Source organism: Homo sapiens, chromosome 17 (assembly GCF_000001405.40).
Source record: "Homo sapiens chromosome 17, GRCh38.p14 Primary Assembly".
NCBI classification, from domain to species: Eukaryota; Metazoa; Chordata; class Mammalia; order Primates; family Hominidae; genus Homo; species Homo sapiens.
In genome coordinates, this window is record NC_000017.11 from 2,356,326 (window position 1) to 2,372,160 (window position 15,835).

The 15,835-nt window shown below is 57.6% G+C and overlaps 1 protein-coding gene and 1 long non-coding RNA gene across 28 annotated transcripts in view, besides 3 other annotated features; one reads left to right on the forward strand and one right to left on the reverse strand.

The window, feature by feature from the left end:
- The window catches only part of SGSM2 (small G protein signaling modulator 2), a 43,554-nt gene that overhangs the window by 18,825 nt on the left and 8,894 nt on the right, over positions 1–15,835 (forward strand). For 11 of the 27 annotated variants that reach the window (XM_011524101.4, XM_011524102.4, XM_011524103.4 and 8 more), the window contains 11 exons: positions 5,312–5,474; positions 5,784–5,945; positions 6,513–6,580; positions 6,664–6,809; positions 7,140–7,274; positions 7,734–7,858; positions 8,271–8,338; positions 8,572–8,732; positions 8,890–9,016; positions 10,946–11,080; positions 14,937–15,090. In XM_011524101.4, the coding sequence (XP_011522403.1) occupies positions 5,312–5,474; positions 5,784–5,945; positions 6,513–6,580; positions 6,664–6,809; positions 7,140–7,274; positions 7,734–7,858; positions 8,271–8,338; positions 8,572–8,732; positions 8,890–9,016; positions 10,946–11,080; positions 14,937–15,090 (1,444 nt within the window). The other 16 variants (XM_011524105.4, XM_017025474.3, XM_017025475.3 and 13 more) reach the window with 8 other exon arrangements.
- On the reverse strand, positions 10,050–15,330 carry LOC101927864 (uncharacterized). The gene is made up of 3 exons (XR_007065577.1): positions 13,585–15,330; positions 13,191–13,269; positions 10,050–10,488 (listed from the first exon to the last, which is right to left on the reverse strand). It is a non-coding gene; the product is annotated as an uncharacterized LOC101927864 (long non-coding RNA).
- Positions 13,065–13,649: an enhancer, noted in NCBI's record as "H3K27ac-H3K4me1 hESC enhancer chr17:2272684-2273268 (GRCh37/hg19 assembly coordinates)". NCBI's record gives its function as "activates a minimal SCP1, AML or CMV promoter by ChIP-STARR-seq in naive H9 embryonic stem cells {active_cell/tissue: H9 hESC(naive)}" and the evidence as "EXISTENCE:reporter gene assay evidence [ECO:0000049][PMID:30033119]".
- Positions 13,650–14,232: an enhancer, noted in NCBI's record as "H3K27ac-H3K4me1 hESC enhancer chr17:2273269-2273851 (GRCh37/hg19 assembly coordinates)". NCBI's record gives its function as "activates a minimal SCP1, AML or CMV promoter by ChIP-STARR-seq in primed H9 embryonic stem cells {active_cell/tissue: H9 hESC(primed)}" and the evidence as "EXISTENCE:reporter gene assay evidence [ECO:0000049][PMID:30033119]".
- Positions 14,233–14,816: an enhancer, noted in NCBI's record as "H3K27ac-H3K4me1 hESC enhancer chr17:2273852-2274435 (GRCh37/hg19 assembly coordinates)". NCBI's record gives its function as "activates a minimal SCP1, AML or CMV promoter by ChIP-STARR-seq in primed H9 embryonic stem cells {active_cell/tissue: H9 hESC(primed)}" and the evidence as "EXISTENCE:reporter gene assay evidence [ECO:0000049][PMID:30033119]".

A 15,835-nucleotide genomic window follows, 5' to 3' on the forward strand; every position in this document is an offset into this window, starting at 1 on the left:
AGTTGGGGGAAGGGACCCCATATCTTAGAATGGTGGAATCGGGGTGTAAGGGTTGGGGGAAGGGACCCCATATCTTAGAATGGTGGAATCGGGGTGTAAGGGTTGGGGGCAGGGGCCCCATATCTTAAAATGGTGGAATCGGGGTGTAAGGGTTGGGGGAAGGGACCCCATATCTTAAAATGGTGGAATCGGGGTGTAAGGGTTGGGGGAAGGGACCCCATATCTTAAAATGGTGGAATCGGGGTGTAAGGGTTGGGGGAAGGGACCCCATATCTTAAAATGGTGGAATCGGGGTGTAAGGATTGGGGAAGGGACCCCATATCTTAAAATGGTGGAATCGGGGTGTAAGGGTTGGGGGAAGGGACCCCATATCTTAAAATGGTGGAATCGGGGTGTAAGGATTGGGGAAGGGACCCCATATCTTAAAATGGTGGAATCGGGGTGTAAGGGTTGGGGGAAGGGACCCCATATCTTAAAATGGTGGAATCGGGGTGTAAGGATTGGGGAAGGGACCCCATATCTTAAAATGGTGGAATCGGGGTGTAAGGATTGGGGAAGGGATCCCATATCTTAGAATGGTGGAATCGGGGTGTAAGGGTTGGGGGAAGGGACCCCATATCTTAGAATGGTGGAATTGGGGTGTAAGGGTTAGGGAAGGGACCCCATATCTTAGAATGGTGGAATTGGGGTGTAAGGGTTGGGGTGCCCATAGGATTCCATCAGCATCTGTGGTCTCCAGCCGTGTGTAGCATTTGTTAGGCTGCAGAACTTGATGGCTTTGAGGTCACATCGGGGCTGGTGAAGGGAGCCCCAGGGCTAGTCTGGGTCTGTAGTTCCTGGCCTTTCCCTGGGAAGATGGCTCCAGACCTTTGTAGGGGTGTCCAACAGTGTGCTGGAGTTAAATGCAGTTATGCTCCTGCCCACTCAGAGTTGCAGTTCCTTGAGCCTTGCTGTCAGCAGGATGGGATGGGCTGACAGGGTAGAGAATGTACCTGGGCTCAGCTGGCCCAGACTCCAAAGGCCACCAGAAAACCAGGGTGACAAATGCCCATCATTCAACGAGTGGATAAAGAAACTGATAAATACATACAGTGGAATACTACTCAGCCATAAAAAGGAATACATTCATGGCATTCGCAGCAACCTGGATGGGATTGGAGACTATTATTCTTTTTATTTTATTTTCTTGAGATGGAGTTTTTGCTCTTGTCACCCAGGCTGGAGTGCAATGGCGCGATCTCAACTCACTGCAACCTTTGCTTCCCAGGTTCAAGCAATTCTTCTGCCTCAACCTCCCAAGTAGCTGGGACTACAGGTGCCCACCACGACACCCGGCTAATTTTTGTATTTTTAGCAGAGACGGAGTTTCACCATATTGGCCAGGCTGATCTCGAACTCCTGACCTCAGGTGATCCGCCCACCTCGCCTCCCAAAGTGCTGGGATTACAGGTGTGAGCCACCATGCCCAGCCACTAAAGTCATGTTTCTCTCTTCTCCATTTTGATTCATTTGCCCAAACCTTTCCATGCCAACCAGTGTTGGTTTTTATTAATTAGTCCACATTTTTTCTCATATGAAATAAGCCAAATAATGTCAGGGTCATCACCTTGTGGTGGTGCACCCAGGGTGGCCGTAGCTGGTGCTGGGACCCACTGGATCAGGGGTCCTGAAGCCTTCACAGGTGGGAGCCCAGGGCCCAGACAGCTCAGTCAGCAGGCAGGTAGGTTCAGCTAACCTGGTGCTTTAGCCCTGCAAGTATCTCCTGCCACCACCCTCCACCCTGGGAGGTGGGGTCACAGTGGGGACCTGGGGAAGGAAGGAGTAAGGGGAGTAAGGCCCTGGAGTTCTGCTTGGTGCTCTGGGCCTCCAGTCAGAACGGGGGATAAGCTTGGGCCGTCATGTGGACTCTCCCTGGGGAAGGGTCCTTCACCGTCCCGTGTCTGTGAGACACGTCCCCGGGGAAGGAGGACACTGTTGCTGCCGGCTTTGCAGGCAGTTCTGAGTGTGGTATTCACTAGATGCGGGATGGCATGTGTTTATGTCTCCATGTATGTTTCAATTAGTGACAATGCCTGGGTTTCTGCTCGACTCAGAAGTCTCAGAGCCAGGCTCAGTGGCTCAAGCCTGTAATGCCGGCGCTTTGGAAGGCTGAGGTGGAAGGATCACTTGAGCCAGGCATTGGAGACCAGCCTAGGCAACATAGTGAGACCTCAGTCTCTACAAAAAATTTTTAAAAATTAGCCAAGCTTAGTGACCCAAGCCTGTAGTCCCAGCTGCTTGAGAGGCTGAGGTGGGAGGATGGCTTGAACCCAGGAGGCTGAGACTGCAGTGAGCTGTGGTTGCACCGTTGCACGCCAGACCAGGCAATAGAGTGAGACCCGGTCTCAAAAAAAACGGCTTCTTAATCTTTTTTGGGTCAGAAGCTGAGAACCACAGACCTACTATCCAGGAAAAAAAGCACTCTCCTAATCATTCTAGAGCACCTCAACAATTTGCATTCAAATTGCTCCCAATATCAGGGAGGGGCTCTTTTTTGTTGTTGTTGTTGTTTTTTTTTTTTTTTTTTTTTGAGACAAAGTCTCGCTGTGTTCCCCCAGGCTGGAGTGCAGTGGCGCCATCTCGGCTCACTGCAACCTCTGCCTCCCAGGTTCAAGTGATTCTCCTACCTCAGCCTCCCAGGTAGCTGGGACTTCAGGTGCCCCCTACCACGCCCAGCTAATTTTTTGTATTTTTAGTAGAGATGGGATTTCACCGTGTTAGCCAGGATGGTCTCAATCTCCTGACCTCATGATCCGCCTGCCTCGGCCTCCCAAAGTGCTGGGATTACAGGCGTGAGCCACGGCGCCCAGACCCAGGGAGGGAGTTTTTGGAGCCCCAGAAGCCCATTCACAAAGTCCTCTCGGGGCCATAGTTCTCAAGTAGTGGTGTCACTATTATTATTTTGTCTGCACACTGCACGCGATAACATATTCATCACACGTGCACACTCTCGGTGGGGAACACCTTGTGGGCATGGCATAGGACAAGTGCAGTGTGAACAGTTACTGGCCGGGAGCCCACAGAGCTGAGTCAGTAATGCCTGGCCTAATGGCCTAACTGGTCTTAGCTTGGAAAGTCGATGCATGAGAGGGATTTCTCCTTCCCCAGACACTGCCTGGCACCTTGCCTGGGTTGCACAGAAGGAAATTAGGGACCGTGGGGTAAAGGGGGGACTGAGCGTGATGCCTGGCTTCTCTCAGTATTCCTTAGTTGCAGTAATTGCTTAGGAATGCCTCCTCTCACCCGAGAGAACCCCATGGCTGTGCTCAGAGGCTGGCCGGGAAGGTAGGCGAGGCCACCCCGATGGGAGTGCTGGGGCCGGCCACTCCCCAGTCCCCACGGCCTGGCTGCTTTTGCGGTCGCCTAGGGAAGGTGGGGAAGCGAATGACTCATTATCCCGGCAATTAATCACACCACTGAGGCATGTGATCCGTGCAGGACATGTGCCACCTGCTGCCCCTCTGTCCTGTTCAGTGCTGCTTCTCTCCCCACTCTGAATGGGAAGTGCAACCCCAGGAAATGATCACCCCCTTTCCACAGGCACGGAATTGTAGCTGCAGCAGCCCAGGACCAAGAGACTGGGACAAAAGGGTCATTCGCCTGTATATCCCAGGGCCACACAAGACCTCCAGGGACCAGGGGGAATGATCATGGAGAGGAGCATGTGGACGCTTAAGCCAAAGATTTCCCCATGTGGGCCGGGCGCGGTGCCTCACGCCTGTAATCCCAGCACTTTGAGAGGCCGAGGCGGGCGGATCACTTGAGGTCAGGAGTTCGAGACCAGCCTGGCCAACGTGGCGAAACCCCGTCTCTACTAAAATACAAAAATTAGCTGGGCATGGTGGTGTGTGCCTGTAGTCTCAGCTACTCGGGAGGCTGAGGCGGGAGAATCACCTGAACCACAGAGGTCAGCTCTCAGCTGCTGTGAGCTGAGATTCCACGATTGCACTCCAGCCTGGGCATCAGAGTGGGTCCCTGTCTCAAAAATAAAAATAAAAAAACCTTGACAGACCTCAATTTCCCTGTCTCCACCCACTTCTGGGGCAGCCTTGGATCGTCTCTCCAGTGCACCCTCTTCCTGTCCCTGTCGGGGAGAGGTCCTGCTGAAAGCCAGCTCTTAGAGGCTAGCTGTAGAACTGTATCTGAACCAACAGGGTGAGGAGTCAGGAACTGACCTAGACCCAGCACCTCCTGAGAGCCAGACCCCGCATGGGTGATTTCACATCCTCCGTCTCATGTGACATCTCACACTAGCCCTCTTCCCATTTCACAGAGGATACAACTGAGTCTCAGAGCAAGTGACCGTGCCAAGCTCAGACTTTGTTCTGTCTGACTGTCTCCAGCACAGCTCACTGTTTCCAGTCCGTGTGAAAAAACCACCTCCTTCTCCCCTCAGTGTCCCTGCCCCCAACCAGACACACCTGGACGTGGCAAAAGGGGCTCGGGCCGAGGCTTGGAGCCCTGGGTCCTCATCCTGGTGGCTCTGCCATGTTGTGACTGTGATCGAGTTTCTTCCCCTCTTTGGGCCTTTCCCTCCTCACCTGTAAAACTGTTAGTTTGGCCCAATCATGTAGAAGCTTCTCCGCCCCACACACATACACACTCCTGTCTTTAGAGTCTGTCTGGGCACAGGGCAGCTCCCTACTGTCTCCTACCAAGCCCTTCTTTTCTTCCTGCAGGGTCTGTCTGTGGAAAGTCCAGACAGAGACTAAGCCTAACCCTAAACCATGAATGAATGGAGGGAAGCCCTCCTAGCATGGAAAAGAGAAATCTCTCCCTCAGCTGCTGGGCTCATCAGTCCAGCGGCCACTGTCGGGTCCAAGCTCTGCAGTGACTTCATCAATATTTTAGCTCCTGCAGAGCCCTGTTCCTTAGCAACCGCATCCTCCGTGCCCTCCAGAAAGGCTCCCGAGTCGGGTGTTCCTCACATCCCCGTCCTGTAGGTGCTGTGCCTTGCTGTCAGGTTTGGAGCCACTCATGCCACCCTGAATGGGGAGCTTTGGTCCTCATGACCCCCAGGGGTGAGGCTGCATATAGGAGGTGTGTGCGCACCAGGCGAGGGAGAGGGACAGCTTGGCATGTCAAAGCTCTTCGCCCCGGGCAGGAGCCGAGGGACGGGGAGGGGAATTTTGGAAGGAAGCCAGGGTATCTCCCTGGCCTGCCCTTGGCTTGCCCTTACCCCTTGCCTCACCACAGGTATGGGGAAGAGGAGCTTTTCTTCCTGCTCCCCCGTCTTTCCCAGGCTCAGATGCCGTTTCCCTTTGTGGCCTAGGTGCAGTGGAGGCTTGCCTCTTGCATCAGCTGAGACGCCGTGCCGCTGGCTTCCTGCGCAGTGACAAGATGGCAGCCCTGTTCACCAAGGTGGGGAAGACGTGCCCAGTGGCGGGGGAGATTTGCCACAAGGTACAGGAGCTGCAGCAACAAGCAGAGGGCAGGTGAGCCCTGGGCCAGCCCCTTCTTCCCTCCTTTCAGCTCTTCCCACTTGGCAATTGCTACTTCCTAGGACACCCATCGGAAAGTTGGCATCCTGGGCCTGTTCCTTGCAGGGCCTCTGGGTGAGGGATCAGCTTGAGGGAGGGGATTGGTTCCTTGTGGGCACAAGGCTCTGTACCCCTCCTTCACCTCCCAACCCCAGTCAGTTCTCTGTGCTCCCATCTTGGGGTACCAAGCCCCACTCCCAATGCCAGCATTCTGGGGTTTACCCCTAGACCACTGCACTCCTGGAGCCCTCCCCGCCTTTGCAGGAAACCCTCAGGGGTCAGCCAGGAGGCCCTGCGGAGACAGGGCTCAGCCAGCGGGAAGGCCCCGGCCCTCAGCCCTCAGGCCTTGAAACACGTATGGGTACGCACGGCGCTCATCGAGAAAGTTCTGGACAAGGTCGTGCAATACCTGGCGGAAAACTGCAGGTGACCGCCCCGTTCCCCAAAAACTGCAGGTGACCACCCCGTTCCCCCCAAAACTGCAGGTGACCGCCCCGTTCCCCAAAAACTGCAGGTGACCGCCCCGTTCCCCAAAAACTGCAGGTGACCGCCCCGTTCCCCCCAAAACTGCAGGTGACCGCCCCGTTCCCAAAAACTGCAGGTGACCGCCCCGTTCCCCAAAAACTGCAGGTGACCGCCCCGTTCCCCAAAAACTGCAGGTGACCGCCCCGTTCCCCAAAAACTGCAGGTGACCGCCTCGTTCCCCAAGCAGCCCCTCCCTTGACCCGTCTCCCGACGTCCCTCAGCCCCAGCCCTCAGGATGCTTGCCTGTCCGTGACAGCCTGTAGGCAACCCTCCATCTCCCCGTCCCCTTCGGTGCCCTCAAGGCATTGGCCATACCAGGCACCTCACGAAGCCCAGTCCCTAAGGACTCACTGTTTCTTGATGACTGATCTGAATCTGGTCTTTGTGGGGATGTCCCTACCTGGTGAGCTTGACTGCCCTGGAATGAGCCCCGGAGCCTCGGCAGTCACACTGTCTGTCTCCTGGCAGCAAGTACTACGAGAAGGAGGCACTGCTGGCAGACCCTGTGTTCGGCCCGATCCTGGCCTCTCTTCTAGGTGAGCCTGAGAGCACAGGCACAGTGGGTACGGGGCAGGTGCTGAGGGAGCATCGTCTGGGCTGGCTGTCTCTGTCTCCACAGTGGGACCCTGTGCCTTGGAATACACTAAGCTCAAGACAGCCGATCACTACTGGACTGACCCCTCTGCTGATGAGCTGGTCCAGCGGCACCGCATCCGGGGTCCACCTACTCGCCAGGACTCCCCTGCAAAGCGCCCAGCCCTGGGGGTAGGTGCCCCCTCCCCACCCTTTGGGCTCATCTGGGCTATGCCCATGGGCCTGTAGGGACGGGAAACCGGCCTCTCTACGGGACAGGCCTTGGAGATGCCCCAAGGTAGCGGCTGCCTCAGAAGAGCCTTCTCCGCACAATAAAACTTAACACAAATGCCGGGAGCCCATGCTGGTCCGTGGCTGGAGAGCAGAGGGTGGCTGGGAGTAAACCGGGGCAGGAAGGACCCCTGGGGTCAGCTGGAGAGGGTCAGCATGGAAGCGTGAGGGTTCCCAAGCCTTGAGGCCAGTTTCCCAAGGCTGGAGGCTGAGCCCCGGCCTTCCACACAGATCCGGAAACGGCACTCAAGCGGCAGCGCGTCGGAGGACAGGCTGGCTGCCTGTGCCCGCGAGTGTGTGGAGTCCCTGCACCAGAACTCACGGACGCGGCTGCTCTATGGCAAGAACCACGTGCTGGTGCAGCCGGTAGGAAAGCTTCATCCTGCCATCCCTCCCCGAAGGTCCCCGAACGAGACGACTGGAAGCCTCTAGCCATGGCTATTCCTTTCCTGAGGAGCTTGACCAGAGACGGGGGGGAGAATGGCCCCAGCCTCCCAACTCCCTGTTTCACACGACTCACGCCCAGCCTTTAGTTGGCAGGGGACAGGAATGGCAGCCAGCAGGCGAGGGGAGTCCGCAGTGTGGGTATGGCTGGCCTGGAATGGACCTGGCATCCAGGAGGCTGGCAGGAGAGAGTCAGTGGCACCAGGCTGACCAGGGAAACTGAGTCCTGTTTTCCTGTGCTTCTGCCCCGTCCCTAGTCCAGGACCCCGTGACTAGCCTAGCTTGGCCTCCCCTCCTCCCAGCGGGAGCTCATTTCTCATAGGCCATCCCTGAGAGCCTCTCAGCCCTTCATCGTCGGTCTTCCGGTGTCTCCCGCTGTAGAAGGAGGATATGGAGGCGGTCCCTGGCTACCTCTCCCTGCACCAGTCTGCAGAGAGCCTGACTCTGAAGTGGACCCCCAACCAGCTCATGAATGGGACTCTGGGGGACTCCGAGCTGGAAAAGAGGTGGGGGCTTTGGGACTCAATCCCAGGAGCCAGGGCAGGGAGTGGGTTTGACCTCAGGCAGAGGGATGGAGAAACCCCGCTTGCTCCAGGAGGCCAACCTCACTCTTTATTTGGACGCCAAGAATAGCAGGGAGCGGCTGCCTGGAGTGATTCCCAAGCTCTCTAGGACGGAGCCAAGCCTGGCCGTGAAGAGGTTTGTCTGAGCCAAGCTCTCAGCGGCTGAGACGGACAGCTGTCCATGTGCCGAGCGGGCAGCACAGATCTCAGGGGTCATGGCTGGCTGTGTGCACCTCTTGGCTATGGTCATCCTATCTTCAGGGGAGTTTCGTGGGGTGGTAGGACCAGGAGACAAGGAAGGAAGGAAGGATGGCAGGTCTTTGGACACAGTGACAGCAGTCTGGTTCCTTTCTAGCGTTTACTGGGACTATGCCCTCGTGGTGCCCTTCAGCCAGGTCGTGTGCATCCACTGCCACCAGCAAAGTAAGCCTGCCTTGTCCTCGGCTCGGGTGGGAAGGGAGAGGCTGCCTTCTGCCAGCTGTGCACTGTGCGTGGGGCCTGTAAGACTCCTCGTCCTCCTCCCATCCTTGTTAATGGGGCTCCCAGGCCATGCTGTAGCCCAGCCATCTGCCTCCTACCCAGCCTGGGGGCACTGGCCAGCAGGGTGTGATAGCCGACGAGAGGGCCTCAGCCGCACTCTCCACGTTCACCCCCAGAGAGCGGTGGCACGCTTGTGCTGGTGAGCCAGGATGGCATCCAGAGGCCGCCGCTGCATTTCCCACAGGGAGGACACCTGCTGTCCTTTCTGTCCTGTCTGGAGAATGGGCTGCTGCCTCGGGGACAGCTAGAGCCCCCGCTGTGGACCCAGCAAGGGAAGGTAACTCGGGTGGGAGGCTTTAGGGGAAGGGCTGTGTGTGGGGTTCTCTGCCCGCCTCCCTTCCTTCCCCACGTGGAGTTCTTAGGAGCGGCCTTGTGTGGAACCCTGGATGAGACTCTGCCCTATACAGCCCGACCACCTACCCCTCCTTCCACAGGGGAAAGTGTTCCCCAAGCTACGGAAACGAAGCAGCATTCGCTCCGTGGATATGGAGGAGATGGGCACGGGGCGGGCCACCGACTATGTGTTCCGGATCATCTACCCCGGCCACAGGCACGAGCACAGTGAGTGTCCCGAGCTTCATCCCGGGGGAGGAGAGGAAGACGCTCTGGGAGGCGGGGAGCGCAGCGTCACCCAGGAGGGCAGCAGGCAGGGCCCACTGACCAGGCCAGGTTAACACCAGAGGCTCATCGCCTAGCCTCTCAGCTGGACCTTTTACCCACAGATATTGCCTTTGAAAAGGTGCGTCTCTTCTACCCAGCTCCCTTCCCCACTTCTCCACGCCAGGACTCTTGGCTCAGCAGACCTAGGCGTCACTACACAAGACTCTTAGTTATCCTTTCAGACCCTGTCCAGGGGTAAAACACGTGGAGAAACGAGAAGTAGAAGGTGGGGAACCCTCCATTGCTCTTCACCTCCTGCTCCCCAACCCCTACAAGACAGCCTGGGTATGGGACCAGCGCTACTTTTTTTTTTTTTTTTTTTTTGAGACGACGTCTCGCTCTTTTACCCAGGCTGGAGTTTAATGGCGTGATCTCAGCTCACTGCAACCTCTGCCCCTGGGTTCAAGCGATCCTCCTACCTCAGCCTCCTGAGTAGCTGGGATTACAGGCGCACACCTCCATGCCCGGCTAATTTTTGTATTTTTAGTAGAGATGGGGTTTCACCATATTGGCCAGGCTGGTCTCAAACTCCTGACCTTGTGATCTGCCTGCCTCAGCCTCCCAAAGTGCTAGGGTTACAGGCGTGACCACTGCGCCCGGCCCAGCGCTTCTTTTTGGATGGTGAATATTGTCTGCTGACTCCCCTAGAGCCAGAGCCCTCCTCAAACCAACTACTGATGAGCGTTAGCTGAAGTAGCAGGTTGCATCAGAGGCAGACTCGGGGCTGCCTGGGGGCTTTGGGCACTGGCGGGTAGAAAGGCGGCTTGGCCCTTGTGGGTCCTGCCCCACCCTGGACACACACCCCTGGGCCCAAGGGGGTCTCTCTGTCTATGTGCATCTACCAACACCAAAGTTCCCTTTCTGGTCAGAGTGCTGCTGCTGCCCATAGGCTTCTCTGGGCAGACTTGCTTTTCTTACAGATAAGGTCGGGGAATTTGCCAGCCCAGAGCGTTTATTGCTAACAAGACCACCCGCTCCCTAAATTTCCAACTTGTGCCAAAAAGTTGTCAACAAGTTGTCTCTGTATTAGGGACCGGACTGCCCAGACGGCACACTCAGCCACAGCACAGATAGCTCCACCAGGCTCAGAGGGCACACGGCACAGGGATGTCCCCCCTTCCCAGATGTACCTGACAAAGAGACGCATCTTTGGCCAGAATGTATTTACACACTTGGCACTTAGTCTCAGGCTGTTGCTTGGTTTAGCTTCTCCAGTCTCTGCCTCCCCTCTTCGATCTTTGCCATTTCCCAGTCCTGGTCACTTCACTTCCAGGACCACCTCGCCAAGGGCAAGCCAGGGCACCCAGAGGCTGAAACTCCACCAAGCGACTCCAGCTCCTTGAGGACAGCTCTGGGAAAACCCTTTCCTTTTCCTGGGAGGGAAGAAGGTGGAATTTATAGTCTGAAAAAGGGGATTTGGAGTAATCTTCAGATTTGGTCCAGCCTGAGAGGAGCTAGAGAACGATCAGGACCCATCTGCCAGCTGTCATGCGCAGCCTCTGTGAGGGCCGATGACCTCCTGGGCTGCCAGCCCATCCCAGACAGTCCCGGTCTTTCACATCCTCCCACCTCTGTTCTCTCTCTTCTGTTCTTCCTAGAGAGGCTGCCTCCGAAGAGTGAGGTTCTGCAGCTGCCCCAGCCCCTCGCCTCCTTCCACACTCTCCCAGGAAAATCATCCAAAGAGCTTTCTGGTCCCCTCCCTTCCCCTCTTCTGTGCCCTGCAGATTCACGATGACCCCGGCCTCCATTCCACTCCCCTTAAGGAGGGAGTCCGTCCTGCCCAGGGATGAGGGCCTCATGCCTCTGCCTCTCGCTGTTCTCTTTGAGCAGTCACTATTAACTACCACCACCTAGCGGCCAGCCGCGCGGCCTCGGTGGACGATGATGAGGAAGAGGAGGATAAACTGCACGCGATGCTCTCAATGATCTGCTCGCGGAACCTCACAGCTCCCAATCCGATGAAAGGTTCTTATCCCTCCCTCTCCCTGACCCACCTCATCCCCACCCTCCCTCCCGGGCCCGCCTGCCACCCACCACAGGGGTTCGAACGGCAGTGTTGGCATTAGGGGACTTGCACCCAGGGCAGTTCCCTTCCATCGGGGGCAGATCAGGGAGGGCAGAAGGAGGCCAGACAGGTGCTGGCAAGAAAAGGGGCTGGCCCAGGGCAGGTGGCTCCAGGCTGTGAGGAGGAAGAGGATTTGCTAATAGGAAGGTCTGATTATCTGATTGCCTCCTGGGCACCCTGAATGGATCTCTGAGCCCATTCCTACTCCGGGGGTCAGGCTGGCAAATGCCAGACAGAGGTCTCTTCCTTTCTCTCTGCTGATTGGGAAGACCAGCCTCTGGGCCTGGTGCTTCTGACTCCTGACTTAACAGAAACAGGATGGAGGTACCGGGTCCTTCCTGGGGCAGGGGCAGCAGCTGTGGGTCAGGCGAGGGGTTGAGGGCTGCCATGCGAAGGGCCCCAGGGCTCAGTCTTCCCAGGAGGCCTGAGGGCCCCAGCCGGCAGGGCCTGGTACTTTGGCATGAAATCTAGAAATAGCTGCAGCATGGTGTCCAGGAAGGGGCCAGGCTCAGGGCCTGGCAACATGAACTCCCGCCCCAGATATGCCCCTGGTTCACTGTGTGGTTTTGAGCAAGTTTCTCACTATCCCGGAGCTCCGTCTCTTCACCTGCGCCAGGGATATAAGACAGATGTGTTCCTGCCCTCATGAGTCTCAGGGTCCACGAATGGAGAGGTCACCTTTGTTGGAGGTGATAGCGTAGTGCCCTCAGCCTCTCAGGGTTCCTCTGCCTACCACCCATCTTTCCTAGCACAGAGCTGGCTTGGTAGAGAGGGAGCCCCCCTCTTTTCAGCAAGCAATCAGCCAGGCGACCTGTGAGGGCTGGGATGGGTGCTCCAGAAAGGGGTGGGTAGGAAGAGGCTGAGGCCAGTTCTCCCAGAGACGAGGGGAGCTTCCCCATTCCCACCCATTCCCATGCTACAAAATCAATTGCTTCTCCCTTTCCCCGCCCCTGCAGAGGATGTCCTCAGAATATGTCACACTCCCCTTAGGCTTCCAAAGTTCTGCCGGGAAGCCCAGTTCCTTAGCCGGCCACTGATCCAGTAACTGTCTCCGGGCAGGCAGGACGGCCTGGTCTGTGTTAGAACACACCCAGCACACCCTCTGCACAAGCTGCCAGCTGCCCTCCTACTGCCAGGCGCCTGCCCTCATGCCCACCCTCCCTCCCAGCCCTTCCAATATGAGCCCGTAGGCCAGGCCTAGGTGGGAACATCCTACTTCTGATGTTTATTGCCTACACACACCCCTGCCATCTGGTTTCTTGCAAACCTGGACTTGGGGCTGTTGCCTATTTACAGTGAACTGACTGAGCAGTGTGGGAAGGTTGAGCTCTGAGGGGACCCACGGAGCTACTTCTTCCCCCACGAACTGGTAGTCAGGCTAGAGGCTGGAGGGTCCTAGCAGAGCCCTTGGCAGACTCGGTGATAAAAAGCCTATCCCTGACTAGTCTTAGGGCTGAGGCCTCCGGGATCAGAGAAACTTCCAGACCCACTTCCAGGGGTCCAGAGGCCTCAGGGCTCATCTGTGCATCCTCTCAAGGAACTCAGGGGCTAGGCCAACCTAGTATAGAGCTTCTGGGCCCCTAATACTTGGGAAAGGAGAGGAGGCATAAGAGCAGAATCAGCAGGCGGTTGGGGAGAGGGCTGGGGAATGGGGGCCCCCCACCTCCACTCCAGTCCATAATGACAACACTGTTGAGTCCGTTCTGCCAGCTGTTGCTTTTCAGGCCTGCAACATGCTTGACTTGTGCATGTGAATCAGTGGCGGGGTGTCCAAATTTCCTCTCCCTCCCTCTTCCTCTCCCCTTCCTTTTCCTGCTGCCTCCCCACAGAGCAGATGCTATTCACTCTAATTCTGCTCCAGGCCAGGCACCTTTCACTCGGAGTCTTAGGGGCTGTGGGGTTCGCCCACCCTGTTTTCTTGCTTTACACTTTCCTCATGCTCAGAGGAGAGAGTCAGAGTCAAAGCTGACCCAGCAGACCCCCCTCCCCCCGTCCAGCCTGTGCCCTCACCCAGTCACGCCATAGCCCCAGCTATCTGCACTGGGCTCGCTCAGAGACAGTGTTCGAATGTGGCTGGTTCAGCTCCTTCCTGGAGGATTAAGGTGAAGAGCATTGGCCCAGGAGACCTTGGCTGGGCCTCCTTTCTGGGCATGAGCTTGGTTCCCTTTGCCCACCCCCGCCCTCACCCCTGTTGCCCTCCCTGCCTGCCCGCCTGTTGCCTGCTGCCTGCCTGGCTGGGCCTCTTCCCACCCCGGCTCCTCCCGGGACTGTCCTCTTCTCTCCTGCCTGCTGCAGGGGCCTGAGCTGGGCTCCTGCCCCACTGCACCTGCACCCTCCCCTTCTTCCCAGAGTCTCAGGCATGGCTTGCAACGCCCTCACTCCCAGAGCCGCAGCCCCTCCTCACCACGCGTGTTCCCTTAATTTGCCTCCTGGTGGAGCTGAAGGGCCAGATATCTGCAAAACTCCCGGCCGTGGGTCTGGGAAGAGAGCCCCGGCCAAGGCAGGGCAACCGCTGAGGGAACCGGAAGGGGCTCAGCTCAGCCCTCCTCACCAAGGCACACCCAGAGCTGGAGTCCAGCTCCCACCAAAGCCAGGCCCACGCCTGCGGCAGGCCACAGTGGGCCCCGGCCCAGGCTGAGCCAGCCGAGCAAACTGCTGCTGACAGGACTCCCTCAGCACACACGGCTCTCCATCCCTGTTCTTCCGAACTCTTCTCCACTCTCTCCCTCCCTCCCGGCATCACCCCCCAGTGCTTCCACTTCCTCTCTCACTTTGCTTCATGTCTGTGGCTCCCTGGACCTGCCAGAGTCCCCCTTAAGCAGTGCCCTGCCCCACGTGGGCCGTGGAAGCTCTCGAGGGTCTTGAGTTCTGATTCAGACCGCCTGGGCTGGCTGGGCAGGCCCTGTCGCTGGCAGCGTAGCTGTGTCTAAGGAGTCATCTTCTGAGGCTGCAACTGGGCCTGTTCTTCTCTGTCACATTGGATAGTGGGCCTCTGTGCCCAGCCACCACTCCCGGCCCCGCAGTGGCCTCGTAGTCCTGGGACCTGTGACTTCCATCCAGCTCCCTGGTGTTTTCGGGAGGCCACCATGCTAACTGCTGTCAGGCTAGGCAGGGATGGAGCAGAGCTCAGAAAGGGGCCATAGGAGCTGACAGCAGGGGTACCTGGCCTGGGCACGGGGCACTGCTCATCCGTAGCCACTGGCCACCAGATCTAGACTCCCCCAGAAGAGCCAGGCCTACGGGCAGGTGACTCAGATTCCTCGGGGGCTTTGAACAGTGGGGACTCCCTGGAGGGGAGCGTTCAGAGTTGGAAGTATTCCAAAGACCTCCTTGAGCATCTCAGAGTTTGCCAAGAGGACCGAGCTGAATCCGTGAAGGCTGAGCTAGCTGGTGGCTTTGAGGAGCTCAGGTCTTTGTTCCTTCTCTTTCTTTCCCTTCCCTCTAGAAAAGCAAGTGCTTGCTGGTCGCAGGATAGAGCTAGGCACAATCATCCAAGACTCAGTCCAAGCATTTTACCACATGCAGAAGGACGCCTTGCGCCCCTCTCCAGGCTTGCTGGAGGCTAGGAAGTGTCAGGCGCCCTCTCTCCCTACCGTTTCCATCTCTGGGCTCTGGACCAGGCAGGCCCCACCTCTGTGATTTTCCACCCATGGGTGACTTGATGCTGCAGCTCTGGGCACAGAGGTGGGCATGGTGCAGGGTGCCTGGGAGAGAAGGTGTCTCAGGCCCTGACCATGCCACCCTTCCTGCCCGCAGACGCTGGTGACATGATCGAGATGCAGGGCTTTGGGCCCAGCCTGCCAGCCTGGCACCTGGAGCCCCTGTGCAGTCAGGGCTCCTCCTGCCTCTCCTGCTCCTCCAGCAGCTCCCCACATGCAACCCCCAGCCACTGTAGCTGCATCCCCGACCGGTGAGTGGGCAGCGCTCGGCCCCAGCTTCCCGTTAGCGTGTCCAGCCACGTGTGTGTCCGTCTGTCCTTAAAGGCCGTGTCACCTGCACGACAGGGTGGCCTCTAGAGTGGGACAGATCTGGGTTCAAATTTCACTTTTGCTACCCACGTGACTTACAAGTTATGGAATTACCATGAGCCTCTACGTTTCTGAACCTCAGTTTCCTCATCTGTAAAATGGGGATGATGCCACTTGCTGCCTGCAGTACTTATGAGGACAGAATGAGAGAGAACCCAAGTGAAGGTCCGGAGTTGTGCCGGCACATCATGGGCTCAGTGCCCGTGAGCTCCCCTTCCCGATGTGCACACAGACCCTGCTGACAGGCCGTCCACCTGAGGACACTCAGCAGCCACCTGCCGTGTGCCAGGGCAGTGAGTGAATGGCTTTTATGGGAGGTGTTCTCTTTTACCTTTACTTCGTCTTCCGTTTATTAATCCTGATGATCCTCCGCTGCCTCTCTCCATTTTTCACATGAGGAAACGAAGATTCATGTAGGTGAAGTTCGTTGACCAAGATCCCTGGGTGGTTGGGGGCCAGGCGGGGGCCCCACAGCACTCTGTCCAGGTGGCAGGCAGGGACAGGGCACCCACTGACGGCTGCTGGGCTGCGGCTCCTCCTCCTCGCACCCTCCCCAGTGCCTTACCTGCCCCCCAGGACAGAGCCTCCTCCCTTCTCTCTCTCCTCCCACCAGAGGGGCCGCAGCCC